Genomic DNA, 18,873 nt, shown 5'->3' with positions numbered 1-18,873 from the left:
GCCTTGGAAACATATTCACACGCCTGAGCTGACAGGGCTCCAAAAACATGCAGAAAACAAGTCACTTTCAGCACATGTCTCCTGTGCTCTTGGACCTTAGAATCTAGTGGAATATACACACATGAATCATGGCAAGTATAATAAGTGTTGCCAAGGGGAAACATAAAATGAAGAAACTGAGGTCCTGAAATGGTCAAGAAACTGCCTCAATCCATCGAGTGTTTTGGTAGCAGAACCAGGAGCAGATTTCAGTCTCTGGCCCTGCAGTCTACTGCTCCATCCATCATGCCTACCCCAACTTTGTGTTGCTTGGTTTTATTGTTTTGTTGTGTAAGAGCCAAAACCAACATGAATCCCAAACTTTAGGATCCACATTTATTATTGGTTTGCTGACATTAACACAAAGCTTTGATTTCTTCCTAGAATTTCACCTTAAAATTCTATTTTCACCACATGACAGATCATAGTCACGGATGTCCTGGATGTATATTAGTGACAGAATAATTTTTCTTTCAAAACTAACTTATATCATTAAATACCCTTTTGTCACTTTAAAAAAAAAAAAGATGCATAAGCTCTGAATTTCATTTTTTCTTTTTTTTTTTTACTTATAAATTTTCACCGCAGCATGCAAACCCTGCCAGGATTGATGGATCAGATGTCCCTCTGTGGATGTGCCATCTCTCACTAGGCCAAACTCAGTGATCCACTCATTTCAACCTGCTTCCTGCTTCCCCCAACTGTCGTGTCCTTTTAAGAGTCCATGCATTGCTCGGTTGCTCTTTTTGCGTGGATTTTATTACCGGAGGAATATCTCCTCAATTTTCAAGACTTAGCACACATGTCACCTGTAAATTTCCCCTCTTGCCCCTTTGTAGCCTCATTCTTCCAAATATAGACTTCTAAGAAAACAATGTCAAAAATTATCTTTTACTTGTTTGTGTGCATGTTTGTTTTTCACATGAGACTACAAGCCCCTTGATGGCAAGATATACATCAAATTTACTTCTGTAAACTCAGAATTGAGCATAATAAATGTTGCTTGCTCAATAATAAATAAATGCTGCTAGGTAAGTAAATGATTGACCTAGGGCATTGCTGTTTTTACAGCAATATTACTGTATTTCAGATAGCCAAGCCTAAACTAAAAATCTCCTGTTGGCTGCAAAAAGAAAGAAGGAAATTGAGAGATAGAAAGAAAGAAATTGAAACAAAACTTTAGCCTGTCCAAACTCAATTCCATCCAGCCAACAGGATTAGACCTCTGTAAGAGATCTCAAAAAGTACATAAAGCAGCAACCCAGAAGGAAACTTTAAAAGATGAACAAAAATTTCCTCCAAGATTGAGAGAAGAGAGAAAATGTACACATATTGTCTTCCAGGGGTAACAACTATTTCTTTCTTTTTTTTTTGAGACGGAGTCTCACTCTGTTGCCCAGGCTGGAGTGCAGTGGCATGATCTTGGCTCACTGCAAGCTCCGCCTCCTGGGTTCACGCCATTCTCCTGCCTCAGCCTCCCGAGTAGCTGGGACTACAGGCGCCCGCCACGACGCCCGGCTAATTTTTTGAATTTTTAGTAGAGATGGGGTTTCACCCGTGTTAGCCAGGATGGTCTTGATCTCCTGACTTCATGATCTGCCCACCTCAGCCTCCCAAAGTTGTGGGATTACAGGCATGAGCTACCACGCCCAGCCAAGTAACAACTATTTCTAAACAGACAAGTTTAGAAAGCAGAGGAAGAGGAAAAAAGAGTGACAAGTGGTAATATGGTACATACATAGGTGTCTCAAGTCAAGGGACCTGTGTTCCACCATGATGATGACATATTCATTGGAAGTTACGGGATGGTTAATATTTTCATTTATCATTGCTCTCTCAGGCTTCTTTCCCTTTGAAGAAGCGCAATATGAGAGGGTTTATATCATTTCATTATTTTTCTATCTTCTTAAAAATTAAAATATCTGCATATTTGAATCTCTGTAAACAGAGAAAACTATAGAGCCCTTTCTTGGGGTTGAGTTAATCTTGCCCCGGATAAGATGTTAAAAGAAAGGTGATAATAGTCTGAGCTGATGACTTTGTTTATAGCTTTGCTGTTCCTAGAAAAAGACCACCTGCATTCTTCTTATATCAACACACAGATGGAGTCTAGTGAGAAGAGGCTCATGACCCAGAGTTGCAAATCTTTATCCTGTTACCAGCATTTTTTTTCAGGCCAGACAGTGGGCTGAAGTCTCTATTTGACTTATTCAAAAATCCTAGAATGGGAGTTATGATGAAACCTTTCAAAAAGCACATTTTTGCATAGCATATAAAGCCCTTTAATAATCCTTCCTTCCCTCTGAAATTAAAAGTATGTAAACCCCTGAGCATGGTGGTAGACCTGACCAGGAAGTGGAAGGCATCCTCCACCCAGCTACAGAGATCCTCAACTGAGAGGCTAAGGCTGGTCACATTGTTTGACATGAGGGTTAGTTTTCAGATAGTGAAATTTCAGTTGCCAGGTGCCAGAGGCAATTTATCAGACACTCATAAAATAAAGATCAAAAAGCCCATCCGTCTCCCAATGCATCTGGGATCTAGGAAGGAACACTCACAACCCTCAGTCCTTTAAACAGCTCTCACTTAAAGAGCTTGATGTTTATAATAACAAGAAAAGGAGAAAGGGGTCAGGTCAAATTCTGCTGAATAACAGGTGTTGTTGTAAGTTTTTTGTTCTCTTTTTTTTTTCTTAAAACGTAATCTAAAAGAATATTGAGCTGTTGCAGTGGATGCCCTCCATATGTATTTTTGTAACATCTGTGAACCAAAAATTTGACCTGAAAACCAGAAAATAAAAGCCCTTGAACATTTTTTAAAAAGCACTTAAAGTTTTTCCATGAAATATTCAATATATTGAATTAACTTAATGGAATCAAATATTTTAACAATGTTACAATAGACTGAAAAATGGTGTTATCTGAGACTTAAAGTGTATTTGGAACATAACAATTTGTGATGACAATAATTAATAACTAATGATAACACTTGCATGTATATGAGACTTTTTTTCATTATTCCCTTGAGAGACAAAGAGACAAGGAGGCTTGCCTGAGGTCACAGAACATGTGAGTGATAAAAACACGTAAGCCTAGGTCTTGGAACTCTAGATTCTGTGTTCTTACAACTGAGCCTTCCTGCAGCCTTTCTTGGAGATGCAGCTTTGCATTGGGCGGTCAGTGCCTCAGTGAAGTCGTCGGCTTCACTTCCCATTGAATTGAAATTATTACATCAAAACTTTTGGTTGTTAAAAGCCAATTTAGGGGCTGATATTCAATTAAGAAATCTTTATCTTACTGTAGTTTCAAACTGTAATATTTTTCCATTTTGTTAAGCAAATGGTATGATTTTACATTAGCAGCAGTGTATATTTTGCAACTAGTCATATTTCCCTTTTAGTGTTCACTGGACAAGCATTCAGTGCTAAATACATTGTCCACTAATGTTAGGCCTTGTAGTTTTAGGTATTTTCTTCTTCCCTGTTCCCATCTTCTCATCTTACCACTTTATGCTTTTTTTCCTTTCCCTTATGCCTTTTTTCTTTCTCTCTCTGTCTCTCTCTCTGTCTCTCTCCACTTCTCTCTTCTATTCCCCCTCCTCCTTCTCCTCATCCTTCTCCTCCTTCTCCTTCTCTTATCCTTCTTCTACTTCTTTCATTATACACGTTCATTCTTTTTGAATTATAAAAGAGGTAGAAAAGGAAGGAAGAGAGATAAGAAGACAAGGATGGAGGACAGGAGAGAAGGAGAGAGGAATGAAGACAGAAAGGCAAAAAGAGCAGGAATCTGGAAAAATATACCATGATGGAGAAAATAAGTAAAACATCAAGAAGATTAAAATTTAGTAGGGCAACCAAGGGTTAATTGAATGTAGGAGTTCAAGAATAATGAGAACAAAAGGAAATTAGGGAAATTGAAGCTCAAGAAGAAAAAGATGCTTATTATTTCTGGAAATAAATCCACCACCATTTATATTTCTAGTCTTTCAAATTTGTCTATTCAAAATTTTAATATTTTATATATTCAAAGAAATAACGTAATATCACAGATAGATGATAGATAAGCAGGTCAACAGATAAATGATAGATAGAAATATAGATTTAAGATTCTAGAAAAGGCTGAATAATCCCAGAATTTCATAAAAGAACAGAGGGGAATGGCGAAAATTACATCAATCCTCAATGGAAACAAGGCAGCTTCAGTGCCATGCCCTGACCTTGGAACGATGCTGATCCTGAAAGTTAGATCTGCAGACAACATTTCAGATATGTTTATTGGAGAAGAAGACAGTAAAACAGTAGATATCTGGCAAGCTTAGGCATTCATCGGTAGAACTAAGGTTCCAATTTGGCGAACAACAAAATATTATTTTCTGAGTGTTTTGGACACAAGAGAAAATAAATCAAAGATAGCTTGTCAGCTATCATCATCTGCTGGCCCTGTAACTCACACATGGGATCATAAATTCATGTGTTTGGGGAGGGAGATACTTGGAGGTTCCTAGGAAAGATGTTTTTCTTAGCTTAGAGCCCTTCCTAAATGTCATATTAATTTGGCCTCCTTGTGGAGACGGTACATCTTGAGGGTTTTGAGAACTATGCCCCCCCCAAATTCACACTTGCTAAGGAAATGGCAATTGAAGGCATGATGCTGATGGGTTTAAAATCAAGGGATTCCTGCTCAGTGGTTCGGAAGTAAATGAGTTTGGTGCTGCGATTTGTCATGCAGCATTAGGACCTGGCTTTTGCCAGTGGGGCCGAGGTGCAGGTGGAGCAGTTCTGAGCTAGCAGGTGGAGCCACACCAGAGGCAAGCCACTGAATAAGAATAAATCATCTGACTCAGAGCCTGACAGACACAAAATTAGTAGTCGTTTTGATAATGGGTCATTTTTGAGTTCAAAGATAATTTCACTGTCTTCAGCAGTCACCATTTCCAAAGACAGCCAAGACACAAATTTTGGGGGAAATCAAAAGTCATTTAGGAACACAGACTATTCCCCAAAATTGGAAAACTCGGATGACTTTAGTGATCTATGACATGGAGTGTAACCAAAATCCTCCCTGACTTGATTTCTATAAGCAATGAGCATATAGAGAGATCAAGGTAACCTAGTTAAGTCACTCGTTTATATTCTGATTTTGCATAACCTGTGATCATCACTATCAGAAATCATAACTTCACTGCTTTATATTTGTACAGTTCCCCATAGACTATTTTGTGTAGAATTGTGTTCCCCAAAAAGATACATTGAAGTGTTAACCTCTGCTAACTTAGAATGTGAACTTACTTGGAAATAGTTGTCTTTAATAATGTATTCAAGTTAAAATGGGGTGACGCTAGATTAGGGTGGGCCCTCAATCAATGACTATTGTACTTATAAGAAGATCCTAGGAAGACATGGGGACTCTAATACACACAGAGAGGGAAGATGGACATGGAAGACAGAAGCAGAATTTGAGGGATGTAACTGTAAGCCAAGAAATGCCAAGGATTTCCAGCGGCCACTGGAAGCTAGGAGAAAGGCATAGCCCAGATTCTACCCAAGAACCTTCACAAGGAGCCAGCCTGGCCAACACCTAGATTTAAGACTTCTATCCTCTAAAATTGTGAGAATAAATTTCTGATAGCTTAAGCTACAAAGTTTATGGTGCTTTATACTAGCAGCCCTGGGAAACTAATACATACACTATACAGCACACTGACATTGAACATCTGATGTGACTGTTTATGAAAAACTGGGGTAAACAGAATCATTGATGGCATCATCATCATTACCATGTCTTCATTTCTCATAGAATGACTTTGTGCTAGGCATTGAGCTGTCTTTCCACAAAAAATAAAAAGTATTAGTAGCTCCACTTTACAGAAATAGAATCTGAGGTTCATAAAAGTTCAGTAACATGGCCAAAGACACACTGCTAGTAAGTTGTAGAGCAAGAATTTGAACACACTTTCAGTCTAAATCAGAACCAAATGTTATTTATAGAACTCTTAATGTTAAATGTTATTATAGAACTCACCATGATAACAACTCAAAAGTTGGAAAGAAATTTAACAGATTATCTTATCCCTGCCTCCTCATTTTATAAATGAAGAAACTGAAGTCTCTGTGCAGAAGATAAATTTTACTTAGGAACACTACTCCACGATGCTAACACAGGTCTTTGTCTCCTCATTCCAATATACCATACTAAGGACATTTTATGCTATATTATGTATGCTACATTTATTAGGAGATTTGGGCAAATGTGAAAAAGCGCTGAGTAAGCAAATCTTTTGGCCCATCCTCCTCAGACAGAGCCAGATATAGGTCACACAGGGATTAATTCTGGAAGGTCTACACTGGTCACCTAGCTTCCTTGGGCCAATCATTCTTTCCTTGCTTTCTGACTTGAGATACATTGATATTTGTGTTCCACAGTTGTGTCCTTGGCTAGCATAAAGCAGCAGCCCCCACTGTTTCTCAGAAAAGGCACAAACACACCAGGCATATCAATGCATGGACCAAGCTGACATCCTGGCTTCAATGCCACAAGAGTGAGATGTTTTTGGATCATTAGGTGCTCTTGGTGTCACTTAACAGAGAACACCTTTTTCTCTGATCTACTTTCTGTCAAGAAGGTATGTTAGAACAACTTGGAGGCCAGAATGATCTATAGTGCTGAACTGCTGCATTGTTCTTCCAGCTCAGCGCATGTACAGAACTCTCCTTAGGACCACATAGGAAGGCACACATGTCAAGTGCTAAGGAAGCTCCCCATGCAAAGCTTTGACACCTGCAGCAAAACGTCACGTTCCCTTTCCTGTAGAGCATTCAGTTTTTCAAGAATCTTATATCTTTATTGTATTCATTAATAAAACTAATAGTTTTATTATTCTTAATTTTGACTTATTAATTCCACTACCAGAAAATAAGTAAATATAGCATAACGTATAATGACACAGACTTTAGGCTCAGATAGTTTTGGATTTGCTTACTGACCGTGTGGTCTTGGATGAACTGTTAATTTCCAAATACCAGGTTACTCATTTGTAAAAAGAAAATAGTAATTAGTTTAGAGGTTACTATGAGGATTAATTAATGTAACACATGTGAAGTACTTAGCAATATAATTAAAACACGAAATATAAATGTAAATGTTTATTATTATTATTATACAAGGAATATTTGAGAAAATTTCACAAAGCAAACCAAGCTTTATATGAAAAAATATTTGTTGCAATGTTATATAAGGCAAAATGGGAGACAGAAGAAATAATCTAATGGCCCAAAGTATGGGATTCGTTTAAAGTATTTAGTGTCAAGATCCATGTGTGTATGTGTTTTTTTTCTTGGAACATAAGATTGAACAAAACACTGCTCTTGACTTTGAAGATCTCAGGGTCTGGTTGGGAAGACAAACACACAGTTCAATATTTTGTTCTAATTAATAGAAGAAAATTAATTTGGGGATGGACATATAAACAGGATGTTATGGCCCAGAAGAATGATATCCAAAGCCCTTAACATGACATTTGGATAGAGAGATGGTTTAAGAAGAGAACAGATTATGCACCTGTTGAAGGCAGTCAAGCCCCGCCCATTTCTTGTAGTATTCAATACATAACTGTTGTTAAAAGAAATTTTTAAAGTATTTTGGGTGACCCAGAATAAGTTCATTTTTTTTGAATCAGGGACATTTCCAGCTTTAAAATCTATAAAGTAACTTTTTCCACCTTTAAGTAATGATTTCAAATGTGCCTGAAGCTCAAGAATTCTAATCTCAAAAATAAATATTTAATAAAATTTATTTCCATATAATCGCCGCTAACAAGAAACATATTTAGATTGCACCAAATGAACATCAAAATTAGAGACATTTCCTTAGCTTTAACCTCTAGAATAGCCAGGGGAGAAAAAAAACCACAGCAACACATTCAAATGAATGAATTCCATTTTTCCAATTTTGTGTCATATTCTATGTTTATGGTATCAAAATATAAAGAGGACACCACATTAATAGCCATTTCTAGGATTAAAACCATTTATATAATGCAATAATGAAGTGGATTTATTATAAATTTTACTAAGGTTCTGTTTGGGTTTAATGCCAGGAGAGCTCCCCTCTCCTACTCAATGTAGATAGTTTAACTTCAGCGAATGTACTAAAACTGATAGCATCCGCTCTTAAGATATAAGCTAGCACTATGTCTGCAGAATTGATAAGAAAATTATTTTCTCTAAAACAAAGCCAAAAGAAAAGATAAAAAAGGAAATGGCACACTTTATTCTTTATGTTTTTAGATGACAATTAAAGCCTTGGGATTAATTGTCTACCATTTGAGAGACCTCATTTTTTACAAAGTAAAGTTATCTTAGGAATTTCCTACTTCAAAACTGAGATGATGGTCTCAATTTAAAGTGTAAAATCTGTGTTTAAACCACACACCAATTTATTTTATTTTATTTTATTATTTTTATTTTTGAGACAGAGCCTTGCTCTGTCGCCCAGGCTGGAGTGCAATGGCGCGATCTCAGCTCACTGCAACCTCCGCCTCCTGGGTTCAAGCCATTCTCCTGCCTCGGCCTCCTGAATAGCTGGGATTACAGGCGCCTGCCACCACGCCTGGCTAATTTTTTGTATTTTTAGTAGAGACGGGGTTTCACTATGTTGGCCAGGGTGGTCTCGAACTCCTGACTTTGTGATCCGCCTGCCTCGGCCTCCCAAAGTGCTGGGCTTAGAGGTGTGAGCCACCGCACCCAGCCATCACACACTAATTTTTAAGACACGAGTTATAAACCAGCAACATACTGAAAAACAGATAGAAAATTGATTGCTAAATATCTCACCAATCCCTGTGTCTTTGCTTTGACGTTGTAAATCAATATCAGAAAGCGGATAATAAAATGCCTTTTCCTTAATTTTCTTTCACTTTGGGTATTTCCATTGTTAATATGTAGTATTAAGTCAGTCACATAGACACACACGTGCGCGCACACACACACACACAAATATATTATGATCTATGAACCCACCCTGTACTCCAGAATGCCAAATATAATGATTTCCAGGGCTCTTATATTCTCTCTCTACACTACATCAAGCCGTTTTTCTGCAGGATGGATGGGCAGAAAACTAGTATGAAAATGTCAACTTAAAGACAGTCAATAAAAGGGTAGTAAAAATTGTATTTGTATAATGGGCCAAATTGAAGCATCTAAAGGTCCCAGGAGACAACCCCATCCTATACACTGCTCCCCAAAGAATGACACTTTGGATAATTTGTATTTAATTTCTAGAATCAACTTCTATCTTTGTTGAAATGTAAAAACCCCAATTTTACAAGATTTCATCCCATTGTAAAAATAAGGGTCCAATAAATACGGATGCATTTTAAACAGAACATTAAGGAAAGCTAACAAGCACCGAGGAATCCTTCATTTCACAAAGCTAATAATTCCCACTATTTATCCCGAAAATCTTTGCTCATTCTTCTTCTCATTCATGTATTGCTTTTGTTATTTTCCTCTGCTCTAAAGATTTTTTTCTATTGAATTCATTTTTCTATTCTACAAATAATCACTGGTGACCCATTATGTCCATTTATGTACTAGTCACCACAGACAGAAATATGCATTTATACAAGCCAAGGTCCCTTTCTTCAAGCAACTCAGTTTAGTTAGGAAGGCACACAAGTAAACAGGCATTCATAACTCATACTTTATGCATTAGCTTCTAATATCATTGCCCAAAGCAAAGGACCAGAATTAGAAATTCTCCCACTCTTGGCTTCTGCCTTACTGATTCAATTAGCTTAAAAAATTGCTGAAACACTTAGCTCGTTTTTCATATTTTCCTAAGCATAATGGAACAATCTAGGCCTCACTCTATAAAAGGCTGTACAAGGTCTGATTTACCCCTGAGAAAAGTCAGGCCTAAAAGGCAGTAACATCTAGCCACCCAGCAGGAATGCTTTCAGGGTTGGATCATGTTTTTATTCTTGCAATGCACCATTTAAAAGCTACTGTGGTTTTCTGAAGTTCCATTTGTGGGGCATTAAACATGTGAGCATTCCTCTTTATACTGCATTATGCTACATTACACAACTATATTCCAAAGTTTTTACCTTTTCCTCCCTAAAATAAAAGGCAGCTAAGCTTCAGGGTAAAATGTTCACGGTACTGTATTTTAATACCCTGCTACTTTCAAGATGAAGCAAAATAGCCTCAGAACTGTATAGAAACCAGCCAACATTCCACAGCAAAATTTACTGTAAATACCTGATTTTGGTAAGGAATTCCTAATATAGCTGTTTGATTTAATCACTACAGGATACTACTTCCTCTGCAAAGATTTTCAAAACTTAAATAAACTTGGCATTCCCATCAGCTGTTTGTTTACAATAATATTTGACTTTTTTCCCTCCTTGGCAGGATTAATGACTTACATTAGAATTATACTTGCAAGGAAAGAATGACTTAATGTTTGCCATTTCATATCAAATTTGAAGTATATCAGCTAAAAGTAAATTTAACACAAAAGTCAATATGAAATGTGAAACTTCAGCCACTCTTGGATTATTCATGTTTTAAAAGCCATACAATCCGAATTTCTTTGTAGAACAACAGTAAAAACTGGAGCTGGAGGAAAACTTGGAGATCAAGTAGAACCAAATAATTTTACAAAGGACAAAACTGGAGGTCAAATAGGTTAAGTAACTGGCCCAAGGTAATAAAGCTCAGTCTTAGTCAAACCAAGACAAAATCCCAAGCCAATGATTCTCAGTCCAATAATTTTAATGGGTACCAGGGTACAATGATGATTTATACACATAGCACTGCACCCTTCTAGGCTATAGCCAGTAAGCAGAACTCTCACAGAGCCAGAGTCTTTGTCCACAACTTCATAGCACTTCTCAGGATCAAGCCCAAATCCCTAAAGCCCATATTAAAGGCAACTTATGTCTAGAAACCAAATGAAAAGGATCTGGAGCCTCCAGGGAGGGAGAAGATAAGCACAGTCCAAGGATGGTCCCTTTGGAACAGAACCGAAGTAAAAACCCAGGCATCCCCTTCGGCTCAGCGTGTTACCTGGCCTTTTCACCGTTAGGGGATCCTTCTCTTTGACAGGTCATTTCAGTTTCCCTAAAATCTATTGCAGCATAAAGAGAAGCTCATGGCAGAATGAACCATAGGATGGCGGCTTGGAGAACTGGAACAAAGCAGGAGGTGGGATTCAAACCAGTGCCCACCTACATCAGGCTTTAGTGTATGGCCTATTCTAAGTCCACACTAGAGCAAACCTCACTCTAGTGCTACTAATAATGAGAACAGATTCTACTAATGATGACCCAGACTTTCCTTGCCACAGTCCCCGTAAAGCATCCTTTATTCCACGTACTCAGACTTCTTCATCCTCCAGTGCTATATATATACTCCCATCTCCACAAATTGTGCAAGCAAAAATGTCTTTTTTTCCATATCCATTCACCAGAATTCACACTTCCTGTAAAATCCTTTGTATGTCTCTCTTCCTCCATGTGGCTTTCCCAATCTCTAAATCAAGCAGAATCTCTGAGTTTTGTTCCTATAGTATTTTTCTTTGTGCTTCTCTGTCACATTTAATGTCTTTTTTTTTCTTGGCAATAATTCCCATAGGAGAGTGTCCCAACTAGATCATAGAGGGGTGAGTCTGATTCACCTTTCTAATCTTTCAGTGTCTAGCACAATGCTTGGCACATGGTCTCCATAAACATTTGCTGAGTTGACTCTAGTTAACACACACTCTAGAATTACAGAACACTCTAGAATTACAGAAGCCCTAGGATTATTAATTGCTGATGCTAATCTTAGCATTTCTGGCACAGTAGCAATTTCACTTTATTCTCCTGCTCCTCTTTTCCTATCCTTTTTTTTATCTTATTATTATTATTTGTATTTTTATTCTGATCTTGATCAAGAGCTCAGAAAAGTACTGCCTATAAAACGTGTCAACATATATAGACAGGCTTGGCTGCTGTGTGAAGTGTACAGGTCTTGGCTCCATTTGGTACTGCATGAGATAGCATCTCCTCTCTTAAATCAACCAAGATCCTGAGTAGCAGAGAAAATCTCTGGCCATGCGTCTTTCTGCCATGGCAAATATAAATTATGCCTGCCCATTAAGTAAAGACATAAAGTAACCTTAAAAATGCAGGAAGCTATAAATTTCCCTGGAAATGTTTTAATCTCTCACTATCAGTTCTTCCTTGGATCACAATCAAAGTGTATCCTATTTTAAAAAGTCCTTATGGGTTTCTTCTTTAGCAGAATGCTTTGTTTCACATGAATGTCTGGGATGGAGCAAAAGCCATTTGTGTTTTAGTGTAACATCTCAGAAGGATATATTTCATTTTCTCAATTAAATTGTGACCCTCTATGAATTCATGTTCTGTTTCTGAGTAAAAGAACTTTGAGAAACAATGGCCATTTCACATAACAAAACTTGATCACAAAATATTATTGTGTAAAATTGTCCAAACAACTCTGCTAATACAGCTGTTCAAACATCTGGATTACTCCATCACAAAAATCTCTCTCCCTATGAGCCTTCTCCCAGGAGCATATCCTACACCAAGGTCTTTGTGATAAGTGATGACAGTAGACACACCAGTTCTCCAACTTAGAATCACTAGTTCCCTATTACTGCAATGAATAGAATCCTGTTTAGGAAGTACTCCTTTACTAGGATAAACAAAACTCACTTATTTATCTACAAAGAGAGCAAAATATTCAAACAAAATGCATTACTTACCATATTTACCCTGAAATAGATCTACATGTATGTGCGTATTTATATAAATTTACACATGTAGATGTATTTATTTATATATATTCACATATATTCACATCCCAACATCCAGACTATCTGTCAAGAGTCTCTTAATTCCTCATAACCTGGATGTGAACTTTACTGTAAAATAATCACATTTATATTTGGTTTCAAAAACCATTCATAAAATATTTTTAGTGTCTTATAAAGTATGTGGCTTGTATTATTATAAAAGGAAGAAGCATAAGTGAGACATTTTATAAAAATCATTTTGTAAGTGAGAAATTTATAAAAATCCAGCCTTGCATACACACACATTTCTATAAACTCAACAGAAGTGGGTCCCAAGTATTCTGAGGACAGCACAGAATGCAGGCTCATTGAAGGAAGGAACTAGGCCTATTTGGGTTCGTATTCATAGTACTTAGTCCAAAAATAATCGTGTACCTAAGTCTTTTGTGTCTGTTGGTTTTGATTTGTCACGTTGGTAGGTGAAGGTATATGTCCCTCTGACCACATTGTAGCCACTCAATCAGAAGACAACCCCTGGACAGGAAGTAGATAAACCAACTTTTGAAGTCAAATAAGAATGTGTCTGAAAGTGTTCTGGAGATATATAAAAGCACAGCCAATAGAAGATACTATTAAGAACATGGCTTAATATCTGGGTGAGAGGAATTAGAATAGTCATTGAACACATTTTCCTGATTCTGAAGCCTCGTGTGATATTCAGGTTTCATCTACAGCATGTTACAAAGCATGTAGGACAATAAAGTGGTGGTGGTGAGAAGCCTAAATAATTAAAAATTACTCTTTCCTGCAGTTCTGGGAAGGAAAGAGAAAAAGAAACTCAAGAACTTGAAGATCTTGCCAAAAATTCCATTGTGGAAGGAGGATACTGTCTCGAAAGCAGCGAGTGCCTCCCACTTCTCTCTGTTTTGATATACAACCCATCACCAACTTTGTTAAAACTATTTCTCATCTAATGCAACAATCTAAGGATCTAATCCCAACTAATTCTGGGTAAATGTCACGTCTTCTAGGGCAATTGAGAAAAGGACATTTCATTTGTAAGGCAGCATGAGCAAAAATGTCATCTGAAGGAGACTGGAAGGAAAAGTTAGAGAAGTTAGGCATTATAAATGAACATTACTTCTTCTTCTTCAATGTCTTAGAGGGAGAAGGAAAGAATCGGGGGCCAGATAAGGAGTCCAAGCCAGAGACACTATAGCATTTTACATCTTGAGGTTACCAGGAGGGGGCTGGGGGAGGCCAGCATGGAGGAGCAAAGCAAGTCTTAGGCCAAGTAGCATGGGGGAAATGTGTGAAGTTAGTCCTCAGAGGCTGTGGGCAAGAACAGAGAAAGAAAAGGGAGGCAGCCAGTGAAGGTGTCGAGGGCTACTTGAGAATATCAGATTTCTTCCCGAGAACAATGGGTCCCCATTCACAGTGACAGACTCTAAATCAAGAAGAAAGTAGAAATAGTAGGATAGACCACAGGGAGATTGCTACCAAGAGCCCTCTCTCTCCAGGCAAGATATGCTAGTTATTTTAAATTGTTTCAGTGCTGGAATGAAATACATTTGCAACCTTGGGAGATATAAAGCAAAAGGTAGAGGAAGTCTACATTTGGGAGTTGATTGAAGAGTAGAAAATGTAATTTTCAAGACTTGAATGTGGAGTTGGGGGAGAATGGAAGAAGAGGTTGCAGCTGGATGTGCCATTTGTTCAGAAGTCCCAAGTCCCAGAGGGAGATGTGTGCTGGAATTGGCTGTGATGAGCCAAGACTGTATCCACCAATCTCTGTGAGTTTAAGAGGAATTCAGAACATTCCAGGAGAAAGCATAATGAGTCTACAAACAGGGACCAGGGGACTCTACCAGTTTCACATCTCTCACTAAACATTCAAGGCATTGGAAAGTATTTGAGCCTGTTTTTCTCATCTAGTTGAGAAACGTGAATTGTAGCATGACAGTTCTCCTGCTATTAGGTCGCAAAGAATAAATGTTTCCCCTCTTTCCAGCTCTCAAAATTTAAGAAGTCTCTTCAGAACCTTGAGCAACAAATTCTAGGATATCTTTGTTTTTTATGTTTTAAGTTTCCAGCTCTTAAAAAATGCATGTTCTCCCAAGGAATCCAAACAGAATCCATATCTCTTTCTCACTTTGTGTGTCCCCCTCACAAATCTCTATGGCACAAACATGAACATAAATATAGGGCTGGAGCTGCTACTCTATATTTTCATGTCATTGAAAAGGCCTGTCCCAGAATTATGGAGTTCGCTGGTTTGCTGAGGACAACAATAATAATTGTAATGAAAAGACTGATAATGCTAGCATTTATTGAATGCAAGATATCATTCTAAGATATCAAGACATCCACATTTCATCCTTACAACAATCCTATGTGGTAGGCATATACATTTATTATTCATATTTATTTTGGGTTCACTGATTTCTTTTTTTTATGTAGGAGGTAGGAGGAAGGATGCAGAAGAAAATTACCTATAGGAAAAGCGTTGAGAAGGGTCTGCAGGGACTGAACCATAAAGTAGTGACACTGTTTTCATAGTTGGAAAGAAGTGGGCTACATTTGTAAGTACCTAGTGTGAGTTTTGCAATAAAACCTACCTTACCAATAAGCATGGTGGAATACTTAGTACTACTACTTAGTACATTCATACATGTCTCTACCATCTTGAGATTTCTGTATACACAGCATATGATCAGTTTTTATAAATCTACAGCTTAAAAAAAAAGATTCTTCTTGTTATAAGTACAGCATTTAAACACAAAACCAGCATGGGCCAGCCACATTCCAACTGAAGACCCAGAGAAAGAAAGGCCAGCAGCATAACTCTCAGCCCCTGCCCTGCTTGATGGAACTGATTGTCCTGGCAGTGTATTACTCCTATTTTACAAATGAGGAATCTGTGGCACAGAGAGAGTAAATAATTTGCTCAAGATCACAGACCAAGACTTGTACTTAAGAAGATTAGTGCGAGAACTAATAATATCAAACACTAGGTGATAACCTGTTAATTTCCATCTAAATGCAAAAGAGGCTCTTCAGGACTATGGAATAGAATGTCCTCTAAAATAAAGAGAAAAAAGCTTTCTTCATTTCCTAGGCATTTTCCTCTGAGTTCCCACAGTGGCAAACATTCTCTTACATTAACCTATGGGACATTGCCCCAAATATCCATTCAAATATCAGGTTCTCTGCTATCTGTGAGCCACTTAAGAGCAGTGAGCATATTTTTGGCTTCAGCATTCTTACAGTCTAGCATAGGGCTTTGCACATCATAGGTCTCTCTACATTTTGTTAAAGAAATTAGTACATTCAAGTCACCTTTTTTTTTTTTTTTTTTTTGAGACAGAGTCTTGCTCTGTCGCCCAGGCTGGAGTGCAGTTGTGCGATCTCGGCTCACTGCAATCTCCACCTCCCGGGTTCACGCCATTCTCCTGCCTCAGCCTCCCGAGGAGCTGGGACTACAGGCACCCACCACCACACCTGGCTAATTATTTTGTATTTTCAGTAGAGAAGGGGTTTCACTGAGTTAGTCAGGATGGTCTTGATCTCCTGATCTCGTGATCCGCCCACCTCGGCCTCCCCAAGTGCTGGGATTACAGGCATGAGCCACCATGCCTGGCTCAAGTCACATTATTTTTCAGCATTTTCTACATTCCTATTATTAGCTGTTCCTATGCTAAGCACTGTGGGTAACCAGCTGAGTTGGTTATAGCTCCTGCTTTCAATATTTGCAATATAATTGGAAAATTAGATGAGTAAATTGAAAAATTCACTAGAGAATCACAAAGTCCTTTGACAGAGTAAAATATGCAGTGTTAGGTGAACATAAAGAAATAGCATAAACCTAGCCTGAGGCTGTCAATGAAGCCTTCCTAAAAGAGGTTGTAAAAGACCCTCTGGGAATTATACCAACATCAGGGCCAGCATAGATATAGACCAGAAAAAACATGGGGACATTTGCACACTTTACAGTGATTGGATGCTGATGTTGCACAGGTTATGAGGCAGTCCATTGGAAAAGAATACTAAAATGCAACCAGAAGTCAAAATTAAAGGGCAGTGAATGTTCACAAATTAAATGTCCTCCCCAAAGATTATGAGGAGTCACTAGTATGTGGAAAGCAGGTAGTAAAATGGTGCTAGGAGAGATTATCCAACTTATGAGTCATCAACAAGAAAGCTGGCATGTTTTCTTGTTGAGAACATGTTGAGAGAAGAGGAAGAGAAAGGGCCTTTTAGGCATGGGGAGAAGGTTACAGCATGAGCAAAGTAGCCAAGAGCTAAACTGGAGGACAGGAAAGGGCAAAGGAATGGAAGGTATCACAGAGTGGCTATCACAGAGTGGAAGGTATCACTTTTGGCATTAGACAGAATTTATACAAACCTCAGCTCTTTCACGGAGTGCCTGTATGACTTTGGCCAACTTATTGACATACTGTGCCTCAGTTTCTCTTTCTGTGTCCTAAAAATAATATCACTGTATGAAATTGATATGAGGATTAACTAGCATATGAGATGTTCAACTAAAAAAGAAGGTAAGGATTTCCCTGTATTATGGTGACCAGACTTTACAAAAGAACAGATACATAATACAGAGAAGCCCTTATCTTTCCTTCCAGCTGAGCATACTGTATTATCTCATTTAATATCTTACATGGTTGGTGAAAGTCTTGTCATAGAACTCATGATACAATGAAGAGAGGCACTCTCTTTCATTACCAGCACCTGCCCCATCCCATTCAAAGTGCTTTTTGCTTTGTGTTGAACCCCTGGGTCCTGGGACTGCACCACCTGAGGTACCGAGGACCTCAGCTGGTTACTAAACCCACAATGCATCATCAGTACCGCACTCTAAGACACTCGGCACCACTCTGCAAAAATTCACTCACTGCTTATACCTCATTTGGGATTCTCACTTCAAGCAGTCTGTTACCAACCATCTGGATGAACCAGACAGCTATCAACCGTACTAGCAAGAAAATGTCAGAATTTTCAGTTTTATTAAATTGCTGTTCATTGGAAGAAATATTCATTTTCAACCCACACACACTCTTCACATTCCCAAGCACATCATTTTATTTATGTTTTTTAATGGTTTTTTGAAATTAGCCAGGCATGGTGGCACCCATTTCTAGTCCTAGCTACTTGGGGGGCTGAGGCAGGAGGACTGCTTGAGCCCCAGGAGTTCAAAGCTGCAGGCAGCTATGATTGTGCCACTGTACTCCAGCCTGGGTGACAGAATGAGAACCTCTCTCTTCAATAATAAATAAATAGCTTTTTGTTTCAATCACTATAAAAGTAATGAGGAAATTAAATAGACCTCTGGTTTTCCCAGCTCAGCTGCCTCACCTTAGGTGATGGGTTAATCTGTCTGTGGTCCCACAATTACCTGTTTACTCCTGGGCACATGGTATGCTAATAGGGCGAGCTGGTACACAATGGCTTCTCTGGCTTGGAGGAGAGGCTCTGCTTCTCACAAATCCATCCAGGAGGCTAATCTGGACTTTCCATGGATGATGGCTGGGAAGAAAGAAGAAATAGAGCAGAGAGACGCTTAGACCCCAGTCTGTCACTGTCTTTCACCAAAACTTGATTGGGCATTTCCTTTATCTGTGCTTTCAACAAGCAAACTTTAAGTACACAGTATGCTGTCTCAGCACACAAAACTTTTAATGATTTGCACTTATTAGGAGAAACCCCAGCCTTCATAGGATACCTAAACATTGTTACAAAATAGAGTCCAAAGTGCTAAAAGGTACTGAATAAAAGAGTGTCAAAATAGGAAAACACAAAAAGATAGCAAGAAAAACAGTGAACAACTACCTGGAATAATAAATTGTTACACTGAGTGCTTTACTGTGTTAGCTCACTTAATTATCATAACAATATTATTACAAATACACTATTATTACCCCCATTTTACATATGAAGAAGGTGAGGCTCAGGCCTTCAGACAGTTTTTACCCATGCACTTAAGGGACGACAAGAGTATAGGCTGTTGAGTCTATGC

General features: G+C 38.2%; 1 long non-coding RNA gene across 11 annotated transcripts in view; it reads right to left on the bottom strand.

Moving 5' to 3' along the window:
• Positions 1-18,873, bottom strand: part of LOC105373456 (uncharacterized) — a 529,181-nt gene that overhangs the window by 426,804 nt on the left and 83,504 nt on the right. For 10 of the 11 annotated variants that reach the window (XR_007086234.1, XR_001739304.3, XR_007086229.1 and 7 more), the window contains one exon: positions 18,253-18,383. This is a non-coding gene — a long non-coding RNA (uncharacterized LOC105373456). Of the gene's footprint in view, positions 1-1,932; positions 18,384-18,873 lie in introns of those variants that run through there. The other variant, XR_007086230.1, reaches the window with a different exon arrangement.

Source organism: Homo sapiens, chromosome 2, assembly GCF_000001405.40.
Source record: "Homo sapiens chromosome 2, GRCh38.p14 Primary Assembly".
In the NCBI taxonomy this organism is placed as follows: Eukaryota; Metazoa; Chordata; class Mammalia; order Primates; family Hominidae; genus Homo; species Homo sapiens.
This window is presented reverse-complemented; position numbering and strand designations above follow the sequence as displayed.